Source organism: Homo sapiens, chromosome 12 (assembly GCF_000001405.40).
Source record: "Homo sapiens chromosome 12, GRCh38.p14 Primary Assembly".
Lineage (NCBI taxonomy): Eukaryota > Metazoa > Chordata > Mammalia > Primates > Hominidae > Homo > Homo sapiens.
The window spans coordinates 78,171,775-78,188,067 of NC_000012.12; the positions used below are offsets into that span (position 1 = coordinate 78,171,775).

Here is a 16,293-nt window from a genome sequence, read left to right on the forward strand (position 1 = left end):
CCCTTAAAATATTTCTGTAATATATATTTTTAACATATGATCTTAAAAGATATATTTGGAATGACACAACAGTTTTATAGACAGGCCTGACTATCACACAACCACACACCAATTTGTGAATGTGTTTCTATTTCCTCTAAATTAATGCATCACATTCATTAACAAAGTTTGATAAATGACTATAGTCTATAATAAAATATTTTTGTTTACAAACATATTTAAACACCTGCTATTAAGTATAGGCATTATCAGATCTTAAAATACAAAGATTTAAAAAATTACCCTGTGGTCATGGAGCTCACAATCCACTGCAAAAATAATGTTTGTGATAAGAAATTTGAAAGTTGAAGGTAATAGAAAATTTTACCTTTATTTTTCAAAATGTACCATTGCTTTCTAAGTCACTACTTCTGTGTAAATATGGAATTGTTTTTCCTTAAGATATACCAAATATAGTTGGATAACGCATGTATTAAAATTCTGTCAGCACTAAGTTGTTTTTTAGACATAGTGATAGGCAAACATAGTTATATTGAATGAAAAATTAGAATCAAATTTATTAAACACTGTGTACTGATTGATACCACATGCCATATGCTTGTATAGCAATACAAGGTTTGGAATTTATAATGGTAAACAAAATAGATACGGTCTTTGTCTCCATAGAACTTTTAGTCTAGTGGGAGAGCAGAAGGTAAAGGAATGTATGTGATCATTGGTGAAGCTGAACATGTATACCCAAACAGTTATAAGTTCCAAGATGGACAATAATGGGTGCCATAGGGAAGGAGGGTACCAAGGAACCTACTGGAGGTTACATAGGGAAGATTATTCCAAGGTAGTAATATTTAAGTGAATATCCAAGGAATAATTGTCAATCACTTTATAAGTACTGAGGGAGGAGTATTTCAAAAGAGCTTTGAGGCGGAAAATAAATTAGTTCCTTTATGGAACTAATGTAAGGAAAATACTAAGCAAACATGTAATAAGAAGAACACGGTTGATGAGTTAAGAACTGACAAGATTACTGAAGGATTGTAGGCCATATTTAGAAGTTGGATTTTTTATCTATTCTTATTAAAGTGAGAAGTTATTGAAAGGTCTTAAGTGGGGGAGTGATGATGAAGTTTGCCTTTTAAAAAAGATTTTTCTAGCTATTGTTTATAGAATGGTTTGAAGATGAATAAGTCCAATAGCTATACTTGCTGTAAAGTTTATGTTGGTAGCTTGAACTGGGGCAGTGGTGACACAGAGGATGGGAGATGGAAAATGACGAGTGAACAAACACATACCTGAAAATTTAAGTTTAAAAATAGACCTCTCCATTAATTCAGATTGCTGATATTCATTCGGTTAGCCATTCTTTACTGAACTTTATGATGCCCCATATACTGAATTAAATACTTACAAGCACTAAAAAAGAAATTGTTAGGGAACAGTAAAATGCATTTCCTTCATTTCACAATATTATTAATATTATGGCTTTGCTAATCTTTATTGGTGAATGCAGTCATAATTGAAGGTAACTGATACTTCCAAGGACTACTTTTGACCTAGGATTACTATCTTTTTAAAAATTTAGTATTAAAGAAGTCAAACACAATTTATTAATTCTGGATATAATAAAAATTCTGAAATACTTTAATACTTTGTGCTTTTCTATTTGTGAAAGTTAATTATTAGGAACGAGCTAGCAAATGCTACTTCTTTTTCAAAAAGCTAATGGCCAATCACAGCAAAAATTTAAAGCACTAAGAAATACCTACACATATTCTTCTATTGCCCATTTATATGACTTCCATAATAGTTGATTAAAGGATACCGGATTCCTTTATTGTTGAATTAAAACCTCCTACATGAAAACCTTGATTTAGGTTTAGAAGTTGGTAATGTTTTGGCATGCAAAACCAGTTAATGTTCTCATCATTACTTTTTAAAACAATGTTAAGAGATGAATTCTAGGGATTATAAAAAAAAAAAAGCTGTATGTGTTTCTTCCTATAAAATTTTTCAGCATGATTGCCTCAGTAGAAAAATTAAGGGACTTATTGATATATATGTATATGAAGGTGAGGATACACATATACACACACACATATATATGTAGGTAAATACATATATTACATGTCTATCAATCCATACATACTCATTTATTATACGTTTTGAAAGCAACCAGTTATAGTTTTGTTGCCATGGATCATTTTTACTATTCAGTAAATCAGTCAATTGAAGAGGCTTGATTTTATGGTATTAGTTTTTTGGAAACTGTCAGCTTTATAGTAAATTTTGACATCTTACAACTTCCACTGAGATTTTTTTGCTTGACTAATCTGCCTTGATGCCAATAAGTATATTAACGGAAATGGACTAAAAGCAAATGTGACTTGAAGCACAATTTTGTAAATTTTCTTAGTGTCTCAGTAATACTTAATACTAGTGCATTTTAGGTAGGAAAATTTTCAGTTTGTTTTATTTTAAATAACTATAAATCTTATAGTTGCTTGTATAAAAGAAACAGATACCTTTAACATGATTAAATATCAAATGCTATTCTCTTCAAAATATCTTAACTAAAGAAGCACTGCCTGCTCTTAGAAGTTAAGCAAGGCCATACCATATGCTGCGTACATGGCTTTTAACACAATGGATATTAGAAACAGCCTAAGGCTGAGACTGGCTCCACTATTTTTCAGCTATGTGACCATGTGAAAGTTACATTTAGTAATTAAACTCATTTCAGTAGTTTGCTTTAAGAATAAAATTAGGTACTCCGGGGGCATATCAAGCATATTGTAAAACCTAGTTTGATTATTATTTGTTATTGGTATTACTATTACTATTCTATAATAAGTCATGGGCAGGCAGTAGGGGTACATTGGAAGAATTGCACTGTCTTAAATATGTCCTCTGTTTAACTCACAAACTCAGTCTACCTAGGCTTTCTTTGGAGGATCTGCCTTTCATTGGCTGTTTGACTTTGGCCAAGTTACTTAACTTCTTTTCACTTCAGTTTCCTCATCTGTGAGATTATGTGCTTACATGACTTCAGGTTTTGTTTTGGCTCTAATATGGTATGATTCTATGAAATGGAAAGTTAATACATTTGGCTCTAGTAACTGTATTTGAAGCACAAATATTAAAAAGCACAATTAATTCTCATTCTGAGTTTCCATTTACTCTTTTAAATTAATCATTCAGAATAAATCATTTTGGAAGAGCTGCTTGATCCAGGTATTCAGTAGAAATCACTAGCATAGCATTTAATTTTAGACAAAACTGAGAACTCATTAAACTGCCAGGGCTATGGACTTATATGAGATTCTCATTAAATCTTAATGTAGATAACTCAGTTAATTAAAACAAATATGGTTGTACTTTATTAAACTTCTAAAGTCAAAACTGCATTGAAATTATCTGTACAAAGCCTTGTTGACCTTTATTAGAGAACTGCCTCTCAAAAGACCTAAAAGACTTATTTGTTCAGATCGAGACTCTTCATGAGCCGATGTGATACTCTCCCTCTATTGCTAGATCTTCGCATCAGAAGACAGCATTCCTCTGAAAGTGTTTCTAGTATCAACAGTGCCACAAGCCATTCCAGTATTGGCAGTGGTAATGATGCCGACTCCAAGAAGAAGAAAAAGAAAAACTGGGTAAGTTACCATCCTTCATCTAATTCAGAAGCTTATTAATGCATAATGTGTTAGGCCTTTTTCTTTGGGGCTTTAGTGATCTGCAGTAGTTTACAAAGGGTCCCATTCAAGCTACTGAGACCTCAAATGCTGCACTCATCACCAAAATTGGAGTGGCATGTACTGAAAAGCATACATTTTAATGTTGGGACTAAACTTGGGTTTGAATCACCACTATATCTAGACCTTTTGAGGGGCCTGAATTTTCTAACCAATAAAAAGACAGTTAATAGCAACTATATTTATTTGTGAATATCATTTATTCACAGATGTTATCTAATTTTTCTATAGTATAACTATACAAACTATGTAGTATAACTATAGAGTTATACTAAAGAAAAATAAGATAACATCTGTGAATAAATGGCTTAAAATAGGGGTTTATTGTGGGCATAGAGATGAAGGAAAAGTGAAAAAATGATGATGATGGTGATGATGATGGTGATAGTGGTCTTGGAGGAAAAGGAGAATGGGAGTTAATAAAGGGAAAGAATAAACAATGAAACTCTCATTCCACCTTTGGAATCGACAGGGCTTACCGTGTGAATAGTTTCACCCTAAAAGAAATCAACCACATTAGTGTCTGCTTGATGTTTTTAACCAAGAGAATATAGCAGAAATATAGAAATGCACTTTAACAGAACTGTACCTTAAGTTTGCTAGTGATATAATTTATGATATTGATCAATAGCTAAATAGCCCAGGGGAAGATACTGTTACTGCGAAAAATTTAAAAACAATGGAGTCAATGATTTCTTTTAATACCAAAAAAAAAATGTAGATTTTGAGTAAATACAACTCTTGATGAAATCCAGACATAATTATCAGAGGATTTTACTGGAGTGCTTTCTACAAATAATGAAAGAAATATCTTTTTATCTTAAAAAATGTTTATACAGGTAATATTTTAAAATACTGATCAGCCTTCATTCCCTTGATTTGTAATTCCACACTCTTTCATGTTTCTGCAAGGTGAACTCTAGAGGAAGTGAGGTGAATATAAACCGTGGACAATTTGGCATGCATCTATAAAAAAACCCTACCTTGGCATGAATGCTATCCATTTTGGCAGTAGGCTTTTATACCTTTTAAAACAGATTACCTTGTATGTCTTTTCTTTGTGTCTTTTCATTTTAATCTCAAATTTTAAAGAGATGTAAAACCACTTTCTGAATAGAGCTGTAGGGGATACCAATTCTGGTTTTGAGTAGTCTGGGGTTGGAAAATTTGAATAGAAAAATCACAATTAATGAAGTGTTAGGTGAATTTGATTTCATTTTGCTTTTTAAGTTTGTACTGTCAGCAGGACATGACTTGATTGTAGCGCTAAAGTGGCCATTTAAAACAAATTGCCTTGAAGAGAGAAGCATTGGGAATGGAGATCCCTTCAAGGTACTTAGTTTTAAATGAGTGCTCTGACAGCCATGCCCTTGACCTTGCACTATTTAAAAGCCTTCCATGTTTGCGCTGCGCTGGATTAATACAAGAATAAAATGAACACACAAAACACGGTATCATTTTTTTTTTAGAGATACTGTGCTGCAATTGTTAATACTCTGCTTGTACATACTGACCCCAGGCAGTGGCTAGGATGGCATCTGCAAACTAACGCCCCAAAGCAAAAGCTCTCCAAGTGCAAATAGACAAGAAGGGTAATTTCTGTCCTTGTTTCAGCTGAGAAGTTCTTTCAAACAAGCCTTTGGGAAGAAAAAGTCCACCAAGCCTCCTTCATCACATTCTGACATTGAAGAGCTTACTGATTCATCCCTTCCGGCATCCCCCAAGTTACCCCATAATGCTGGTGACTGTGGCTCAGCATCCATGAAGCCCTCACAATCTGCTTCAGCGTAAGTTGCTCCTTCTGCAAAATGCAGACATATTTTTTAAAAACAATTTTAGATGAAGGCCTTATTTATGTTCTAACCATATCTGTACCAATTATTTTCAGATTTTTCTGAGAATGATGGACAGCATTAGTTTCTCTTTTCATATTTCTCTTTCACTGGTTTCTTTCATTTTCATTTTTCTTTTTCATTTTCATATGTTAGAATTCAAGTGTTTCTTGATCTCATTCTCCAGTTTTCTGAATCATGATTCTCACTTCTTTTCATGGGCATTTGTCCATGTATCTGTCTAACTGTATGTACATACAGGTCACCCCTTGTCTGGCCACCAAAGAAACGACAAAATGGCCCTGTGATCTACAAGCATAGATCTCGGTAAAGTGGAGTGCGATGCATGAATACTGCAAAGATCCAGGTTCTAACCTAAGTAGTGTTTGCTTTTGCTTTTTCTAAAATCACTCACATGCATTTCAACAATAAATACCTTCTCTTTCTGTTTTTTCAACTAAAATTTGGTTTCCTAAAATCAACCTGCAATCCAGTTTTCTTTGATTCTATTAGTTAATCTAACCTAGCATTTTTATGATAGCCCACTTTTTGGTAGTACAGTAGCCCCCCGTTATCCACCAGGGGTACTTTCCAAGACCCCCAGTGGATGCCTGAAACCATAGATAGCACCAAGCCCTATGTATATTATGTTTTTTTTTTCTATACATGCATACCTACATATGATAAAATTTAATTTAAAAATTAGGCACAATAAGTGATTAACAGCAATAATAGAACAATTACAACAATATTTTCTGATAATAGTTATATTAATGTGGTCTCTATCTTCCTCAAAATAGTGTTTTTTTTTTTTTTTTTGAAACAAAGTCTCACTCTGTCACCCAAGCTCGAGTGCGATGTCAAGATCTCGGTTCACTGCAACCTCTGCCTCATGGGTTCAAGCGATTCTCCTGTCTCAACCTCCTGAGTAGCTGGGTTTACAGGCGTGCACCACCACACCTGGCTAATTTTTTGTATTTTTAGTAAAGATGGGGTTTCACCATGTTGGCCAGGCTGGTCTCGAACTCCTGACCTCAAGTGATTCACCCACCTCGGCCTCCCAAAGTACTGGGATTACAGGTGCGAGCCACCCCACCTGGCCCAAAATACTGTAATATTTTTGGACCATGTTTGACTGTAGGTAACTTAAACCACAGAAACTAAAATTGTGGATAAACTATAATTGTGGGGGACTACTGTACAAGAACGAACACATTTCGAATATAGAAAAGTGTTCTGGTGAGATAATTCTCTGTGTTATTTACTATTTAAATCTAATTTCCTTGTATGCCCATGACAACAACTAGCATAGAACTCATATAGAACAGGGCCACTGTGCTTTGCCTACATAATTTTATCATTTATGCAGAAAGGAAGAACATGTCACTGTCATTTTGTGGCCAGTAAACTAGTTGTCAAATTTTAAATGGAAAATATGTTAGTTAATATAAAACAATTTTTTTGGCAAATTTCCTGCGAAGCTGTCCACAAAACAATAAAAACACAACAAGGATACAATGTGTTTCCTTCAAACAGCCCTCAGCTAGCCTGCTAACAGGGGCTGAAACCTTTGATTTAGCTGTGATCTCCTAAATCAGCTGAGCCCAGTAGGGAGGTTATATAACTCACCCATTATTTAAATGTCCAAAAGTAATATCTCTAATTTATTTTCTACAATGTTTATATTGGATTTTTATGGTAATTAAAGACAGTATTGTGGCAAAGCTTTTTTTTTGCACAATTTTACAAAAGAAGAAATCAACATTTTAAGAATGTAATAACTGCTCTTATAAAAGAATAGTCACATGTTGCAAATAGAGGTTTAAGTCCCTTGAAAATGTTGGAATGAAATGTAGTAATCTATGACTTTTCTGCCTATAAATATCACCAATAAAAGAATTTTTAGGATTACTTTATATTCAGTAAGAGTAGACTATTTTTAAACTTTAAAAAATAGAAAAAAAGATTAAAAGAAAAAGCTACTTCCGTTTTGAACCTGTGAATGCATAACCGTTTGTAAAACTCCTTCTCCTTTTCTCTAGGTTTTGCCAGCAGCACACCATATCTGTACCTGCTGGAGAATATTGCAGTGCAGCCTTTAAAAGAGGCAGTGCTTTTCTTAATCCTCTGGCTTCCCCAGGCCACTGATTCTGTTTGTTTCCTTCTTCAGGATCTGTGAATGCACAGAAGCTGAGGCAGAGATAATTCTGCAGCTGAAGAGCGAGCTCAGAGAAAAGGAATTAAAATTAACGGATATTCGGCTGGAGGCCCTCAGCTCTGCTCATCATCTTGATCAGATCCGGGAAGCCATGAACCGGATGCAGGTTGGTACTGAAGCACTTTCAAGGAATAAAATGGAGAAACAAAAAAATGCTGCTTATTCTGTTCTCTTGGTTAACACAGAATAAATTCCACTTGGAAACCCACCTTAGAAATGTACTCTGTTTATTCAGTCTTTGCAACTCATCTGTTAGTACTGAATTGAGAATTTTGTCAAATCCAAGTTTGGAAGTGGGAGTGCAAACTGGCAAGTTGTATTCAAGAACCATTCAGGATACTGTACTAGTAATTGGATTCAGGTTGAGAGCTAAGCTTTTAGAGAAGCTACTACAATTCTTGCTTCTTCACTTTTCCATCATTTACTTTTATTTTGGCTTTTTGCCTGTTCTTTTGAAATCTGATTTTCACATACTTTCACCAGTTTTCTACTGAAATACAAAAGTAATGAGGAAACTATAGAAATTCAACACAAGCTTTCTGAATACAGAAGTAAAAGTGATTTAGAATGCCATCTGTAAAAGTAAGGCTTGTGTATTTTTTTGAAAAACATCTAAAGGCTAAATTCAGAACCAGTCTGTGCTCAGACTAAGTTTTCATTTTATTATTGTATACCAGTAATCACTTGGTACCACAGATGACTGCAATAAGAAAAGCTCATTGCTGAGCAGATTCATCTGCCACTGTATATGTTCATCTAAAGACTTTTGTTGTTTTTTTATGAGCTTAGTGTCCCGATTGGAAGGAAAAAAAGAAACTTTTTCAGATGTTAGATATGATTTTGGAGTAATTTTAAATCACCTTATTGACATTATTTTTGTTTTGCTCTGTCTTTCAACTGTCTACAGATTTATAACAATATTACAAATGGCATTATATGCTTATAAGATTTTAACATCACCTTTAAAATGAGAAGTGTTATGAATGATTTCATCATATTTTTCTTAATTCAAATGAGACCAAGTCCTCATGATTTAGTTAAAAAATAATGATAAGCATGTCGAATGGTTGGATTGTCTATATTTGTGAATTCAGGAATGTATAATGTGTGAGAGAGAAAAAGGTTAAATTTCCTTCTTGGGAAGGAAATCCTATTTCATATCTTATATTTCTTTATTTAACATATTAACATGTTTTATTTAACAAACAAGCTAATTAACTCTGATAAAAGACTTGGTGCTATTTTCTCAATCAAACCAACTCAGTTTTTTTCATGTTTTCCATCTTCATAACAGAATGAAATTGAAATACTGAAAGCTGAAAATGACCGGTTGAAGGCAGAAACTGGTAACACAGCTAAGCCTACTCGGCCACCGTCAGAATCCTCAAGCAGCACCTCCTCTTCATCTTCCAGGCAGTCATTAGGACTTTCTCTAAACAATTTGAACATCACAGAGGCTGTTAGCTCAGGTGATTTAGTGCACATGCTTGCCTGAATCACAGCATACCCATGAGTTAACGGGTGGGAAGCCTGGAATTTGGAGAACTTTACGTACTCTTAAAAATGTTACACTCTAATTCTCAGAAATAGTCCTAGTTTGATCTTATAAATCTAGTCTACTTAGTTATAATTTTAAAAGCACATTCTCTGTCCAAAAGTCAGTCTTAGAGATATGGTCTTCATAATATTTTTAAGAAATCACTTTTCCCTAGGAAGTACTTTCTCCATGATTCTGATGATGAAGAAATACTCTCAGTGATGATAATTAGTACTTATGGATATAATAATAACCCCAATGACTTTTATTAAGTGTGCAAAACCCATTTATAAGTGTAGCAGGCTTTATTTTCTAAATCTGACTTGATGAACCTGTGTGATGCTGCTCTGAGAAAACAATAATGCTACTGTCACCCAGTCTGCAGCTCTATTAAATTTCCAACAAAGATAAAGAACACAGTACTAGTGATGGAACAAGGGTACAGTTTTGATTTGATTGCAAATAGAATCATATGACATAATGTCATCTTAATATCTCATGAACCATTCAAGCATAAAGTGTAGCTGTTTCTGTGGAACAGTTCATTCAAGAGAATCATTTCAAGGATAGAGAATTTAGTCTATATAATATTTACATGAGGATCTATGGTAATTGTGAAGCACGGCCACCAGATGACGCTTGGAAACCAATAATATGTATGTTCCTAGCCAACGTTAGATTCCATTATAGAATGGAGATAGTACACTGCTTGCCTTAAATCATATTAAAATACAGAAGGAGAAGGAGAAGGGAAATGACATGGCATGCTGATATTGATTACATTTCCAATGAATCACATCTCTTCTAAAAAGACAGAATGTTAAAAATTCTGCTATTATGGCTGCTCTTCATAATATAAAATAATGGCCTTCATCTTATATGTAAAAGACAAGTGGGCACTCCCTGTAATTTAAGAAAACAACTTTTGTAAACTTCTGGTGGGGATTAGAGAAAGAAAATAAATTCTGAGAATAAGCATCAAGTACAACTAATGTCAGAAGCCAAGTAAAAAGCAAGAGATTTCAGAATTAAATGAACTTATAGATCATTAGGTAAAATAAGACTGTGGAAGTGGATGGTAATTTGAGTTTGTAAATTACACATAAAGTATTATCCACACTCAACAAAATATTCTGCAAAAGAAAGAACGCAAATGTTTAAATGTATAGAATCTGGCAGTTCTGAACAACATCCTCTATGTTGGCTTGTTGCTGATGGACCTGACAGAGAAGTGAAGTAAGATCTACATCTCATAATGACCAGTGCATTTCTGGATCCTCAGGCTTGTCTCCTAGGAAAAGACAAAGGCCAGTACCTTATAGGTCAGACTAATGGTAGGGTTTCACTGCCTTTTATAAAATTCTGTTTTATTTTATGAAAATATGATAAGGTTTGAAGGAGGCAAGTTTAATACTGAAGGTGGTTTAGAAAAAACAGACACATATAAAAAAAACTTAGTATCTAGGAAAAATAGAACTCATAAAGATAAATATAAAATCAAAGAGTTTAAATTTACAATTTCTATGTTTATTGGTCTTAACACATTGATGGCCATGATTAAGAATTTAAGGCAATTTTTTAGGAGGAGCCAAGTTTTACGTTTTTTTAATACCTTTTTTTACCCATTCCCTAAGTTATTTTTAATATATCTTATTTCCTTAATTATTTTTCAATAGTGATACTTATGTCTGAACTAAAAAAATTAAATCACACAACCAGAATATTGTTTTCATTACTTTCACTCTTGTGGAGTGGGTTCAACACTTGGAAATCAAAACTGCCTTTATGCTGGGGCTTTTTAACAGACAGACTTTCTAAGTTTCATGATTAATCTTAAGATAAAGAAAGTAGGCAGGAGAGAGGATAATTGGCAAATATCTAGTTCCTGAAATATTAATTGCATGTTCCTTGCATCCAGTAAAGACAGACATTTCAGAAGTCTTCAGTTTTTGGCCAGAATTTTACTCAATTATAGCCAGAATGGCAGACCTCTTTAATTTTTCCTTCAAAATATAGACAGAGGACCATGACTTATTTTCTAGTAAAAAACAAAACAAAACAAAAACAAACAAACAAAAATACAGAAGGCTCTCACATTAATCTTGCTGTTTTTCCTGGAGTTGTTTCATCAGGTGACCATCCTGTCAATATTCTCTGAACTGGGGAGATTCGGAGTCATGATGTGAGCCACCCACAGTCAACAGAAGGAGTTAGAATAAACACAAATAATGGCTGGAAGAGCAAAACTTAGTAAACACTGAGGATGAAGTGCTTTAAAAGTATTATCTTTTATGTTCTCAATAACTCTACCAGGAAGGTGCTGTTAAAGCCCCATTTTATAGCTGAGGAAGCCAAGACTTAGGAAAGTGACTGTAACAATTTGTTCAAGATCATGAAACTAGTAAGCAGCAGAACTAATAATCAAACCCTGGCTTGGATGAATCCAGGACCTGGACTTTTCACTATTGTGTTAATTTTGCTTTAAATAGCCACATAATAAAAGCAAAGAATAGTTATTCACTCATCTTTGGTAAATATTTATCCTACTGTTGTCAGGAGAAATTTCATATTGTAAGTGTAGTTTTTAGAAGTAAATATGGCATGAAATGAATAACATATTCCAAGGCAAATTTAAGCAGCTTATGTGGATCAACAATCAGGCCAACCTCCTTTGCTATGGACTACTTGGCCATGTGTGATTTGGTCCATACTTATTTCCATCCACATCATTTCATACTACTCCTCACCCTCCCCTTGTCTCTACATTCCTGCTACCCTAAACATCTCTGTGTTCCTTTAACATACCCAGCTTACACATCTCAGGGTTTTGCACTGTTTTTGTTGACTGAATCTTTTTCCCTTGTTCTTCACTTATCTAGCATTCCTCAGCCTTCTGGTCTTATCTCCAAATACCACTTCTTCAAGGAAGCCTTCCAGGATGACCTATCTATCTAGAGCAGGCTCCCTTCAGTTACTTTCTGTTTCATTGTTTGGTTTATATTAGCAGAGTGCTTAAACTATTCTGAAATACATACTCCAAAAAAACAAGGAATTCACTTTCTTTCTCATCTTGGTATTCATTCCCAATATGCAGCAAAATTTCTGATACCATTTATACCTAATAAATATTGGTCAAATATTTTTGAGCATTTATGAGTAATTAAGACAAGTACTAAAGTAATTTGATCACAAACTACCAGAAGTCTAGATGTGAATAGCCAATGGTAAACCACTCTAAACTTCTTAAAAAGGAGCAAGATAATTAAAATGACACTTAAGGAAGAGTTTTATTTTTGAGTGGAGTAGGTGAAAAGGTGAAAGACTATTAAGATGTTAACTTGGGAAAATAATTAAACTCCAGTGCAGGAGATTATCTTTGATGATTTAAAAATTTATTGCAAAGCTCTAAAAGTTCTAAAAGTTCTCAAGCTCTGAAAGTTGTTTTTAATTGTTATGATCTTAGAGTATTTTTATTGCTTACTTTCAAAATTACATATACTTAATTATTAAGATAATAGAAACCATTCTATTTTTGGAGGCCATCTTATTAGAGTGTTGATTTCTATGATGCTATAGTCGTAATCTTTTTTTCTATAAATTTATTGTCAGAGCAGTTGAGTCCTCTTTTCACCAGGAACATGTGCTCTTTAGAATGTAATGGAGTTTCATTTATCCACAGAACATTGTCTTAATATTAAGCATGGTTCTATGATAGTATTATTATTAAAGGAAAGCATATATTTGGAATAGTTTGCCTTAATAATTCTCCAAATTGGAAATTAATCTGGTATAATATATTTTGAAAGTTAATCTTTAATCACCATTTAAAGGCTGATATTTTAAAGGTAGCTAACTTTATCATGCTTCTGTAACTCTTAGCTGATTACTAGAAATACTATTTTGGTTTTGAAACTATTAGCATAAAGGATTCCGGAGAGCAATCATAATTCCAGTATAATGCCACAGTTGAAATTCAATAACAGTACCTAATAATTATAAAGATAAGGTGAGTAGTTATATAGCTGGCTGTGTCAAATGCTTGAAAATAATTTCAGTTGACAGTCAATTTCAGCACCTTTACATTTATAAATTACATGGATATTGAGCTTGGATATTTTAGATTGGATAGAAAAATCAGATGGCTGTCAGTTTGTCATGGTTATAATGGTGACTAAATATTACTCAGGTATTACTCAGACCTATGTGTAATAGAAAAAGAAAATTCTTATTTCCTCATCTAAAGTCAGTGAGTGGCCCAACACTTGAGTGAAGATCTTTGCAAGCAGAAATAAATTCTTAGATTGAAACTTTAGCCCAACCACAGTAATTCATCTTCTGGAAAGCTGAGGCTTTTCAAATCAGTTAGGCTAGAATGGGAAGCAAATCCCATTGAAAGATATAAAACTATGAGGGAGAAAAGAATGACAGTAAACAAATCTGAGCTAATGTTATACTGTTGTGTATGTCTTTCTTTTAAAATTTGATAGATATTTTGCTAGATGATGCTGGTGATGCAACTGGACATAAAGATGGCCGCAGTGTGAAAATTATAGTCTCCATAAGCAAGGGCTATGGTCGAGCAAAGGTACTTCTTTAATCTTAAACTCTTTATTACTAACAATGAGAATTACCATGAGTCAAGTGTATTTTATGTGTGAATATTTGATCTGGTAAATATCCTACAACAATTGTGGATTGGCATTAGCTTAACATGTCATACAAACATGAAAAGGACAATAAAATGATGACATCATCATAGAGGTAGAAATGTGTCTTACATGTACCTCACATTCATTCACTGAAAATAATATTAACAGCCCCTCATTTCTAAAACTTTAAAAAATAGTTATTTCTTTGGCAAACATCTTGTCTGACATATTCTTTTGGTTTCACTTATTTGTTATAGGTAATGTTTATGATGTGCAGTCGCTAGAGCTGTCAATATGGTCTTTATACAAAGGGAAGACTCTAAACTAAATGAATATTTTAGAAATCAGAAAGACACATGTTCTACTGAACTTGGTAGGACAAATTCCATTGATGTTACTTGTCTATTTAAGCAAGGTCCTAGATGACCAGACAAGTATTTTAATTTTTTTGCAATGAAATATTGCCTTCAAATTGGCAATGCCATTCTGACTCTATCCCTTTCTTAAAACAACAACAAAAACAAATTTTAAGTTAAAATTTTAGTTGAGTGGCCAAAAATACAAATTTCTAAGTATCCAATTTTTTTACATCAAGCAAATAAAAATTCTTTAGAATTTTAAAATAAAGTACTTAAGTTTGAAAAGTAAGATAGCACTTGTGAATTCTTACCTTAAGCCAATGTTCCAAGGATTCCAATACCATCAACTTTCTGCTTGAGCTGCAGATGTGTACCTACTTTTCCCAAGTGGGTCTTTATGTGAGAGACAGTAATACTCTTAGTGAAACATAAACTAACTTTGATTTAAAAGCAGCTTTTTATAAGGTATTGCATAAGCAGTAATTTTAACTGGGTTATAAACACACTGAAAAATAAGATTTCCTGTTCACAGTAATTCTAACAGACAATGCCTTTGAACACTTTTTTCTAAAAAAGCTTCCATGAAAGTACTTGTCTTATTCTACTTGGACTTCCATAATAAAATAACAGACTAGGTGGCCTAAACAACAGAAATTTATTTTCTCACAGTTCTGGAGGCTAGCCAGTCTAAGATCAAGGTGCTAGCTGATTTGGTTCCTGGTGAGGGCTCTCTTTTTGCATTGCAGGTGGTGGAATTCATGCTGTGTCTTCACACAGTCTTACCTCAGTGTCTGTAGGTAGGAAGAGAGAAAGACTACAAATCCTGAATTATCTACTTTACCCAGTAATCCCATCATGAAAGTCCCACCATTATGATTTCATTTAATCCTAATTACCTCCCAAAGACCTCATCTCCTAATACCATCAATTTGGAAGTTAGGGCTTCGATGTATGAATTTTGAGGAGACACAAATATCATTTCATAACAATAGTAACAAAAATCACAATTGTCAGCTGTGGATTTCTCAACTTATTCTGCAAAAGGTATTAGATTCTAACTCAGATTATACCTGAATAATTTTGATAACCATTTATCCTTATGGTGCTAAATATTACATATTAAGAGATTGAGGGTCTGAGCCAGCTAAGTGATTTACCTAAGGTCACATTTCTTAATTAGGTGGTAGGTATTATGTGTTATAGAATCCATATCTTCTAACTCATGACTCAGTGATTATTCTACCACCCGTTAATGATAACATACTTGGTGACTAGAACCAGGATTATAATATGTCAACTATCTAATTATATCTACTGGAATCATAATCACTATTTCGTTAACCATTTCTGGTCATCATAATAGAGGCTCTAGCTAGACTACAAATTTTGAATTATTTACCTTTCTAATATATGTAGAAATTTCTCAAAATCCCATCCTACAAAAAAGATAGATTTGGAACCATTATGTTTATTATAAAATAATTACTTGTTTGATGAAACGAATCCTGTAGGTTTCTCTGGCAAGGTCTTTTAAATAGAGAATTTCTGATAAATTCAAAATGGAACCTGTTTTGTAGGTATGCAAATACCTTATATTATCATAGATAACACATTTTAAAGCGAGATTGGATTCTAGATTAAAATTAATAAAACAACTGAGTTTTGGACTTATCAAAGGTAAGATCACAAAATAGTAAGATAAAGTTCTAGAATTCATATAATATGGTTCTGTTCTGTCTCTCTCACCATTTCCCTCCTACCAAGCTGCTTCTCTTTAAGAAAGTATGCACTGCATTATAATGCAAGAGTATTCTTTCAGATTCCTTCACCTTTGCCTTCTACAGAACAGGTCATGGATCAGTTTTCCTCGACATGCTGCTTTATCTCATCTCTTTCTTTCTTGTTGCTGTTGCTATTGCTGTTACTTTATTTGTTTGGTTGGTTAG

At 33.5% G+C, this 16,293-nt stretch overlaps 1 protein-coding gene across 31 annotated transcripts in view; it reads left to right on the top strand.

Moving 5' to 3' along the window:
- Window positions 1–16,293, top strand: part of NAV3 (neuron navigator 3) — a 641,149-nt gene that overhangs the window by 599,913 nt on the left and 24,943 nt on the right. For 12 of the 31 annotated variants that reach the window (XM_047429817.1, XM_047429819.1, XM_047429826.1 and 9 more), the window contains 5 exons: window positions 3,532–3,653; window positions 5,367–5,539; window positions 7,755–7,908; window positions 9,097–9,271; window positions 13,827–13,924. In XM_047429817.1, coding sequence (XP_047285773.1) covers window positions 3,532–3,653; window positions 5,367–5,539; window positions 7,755–7,908; window positions 9,097–9,271; window positions 13,827–13,924 — 722 coding nt within the window. Of the gene's footprint in view, window positions 1–3,531; window positions 3,654–4,664; window positions 4,686–5,366; window positions 5,540–5,845; window positions 5,912–7,754; window positions 7,909–9,096; window positions 9,272–13,826; window positions 13,925–16,293 lie in introns of all 31 variants that reach the window. The other 19 variants (XM_017020166.3, XM_047429823.1, XM_017020167.1 and 16 more) reach the window with 3 other exon arrangements.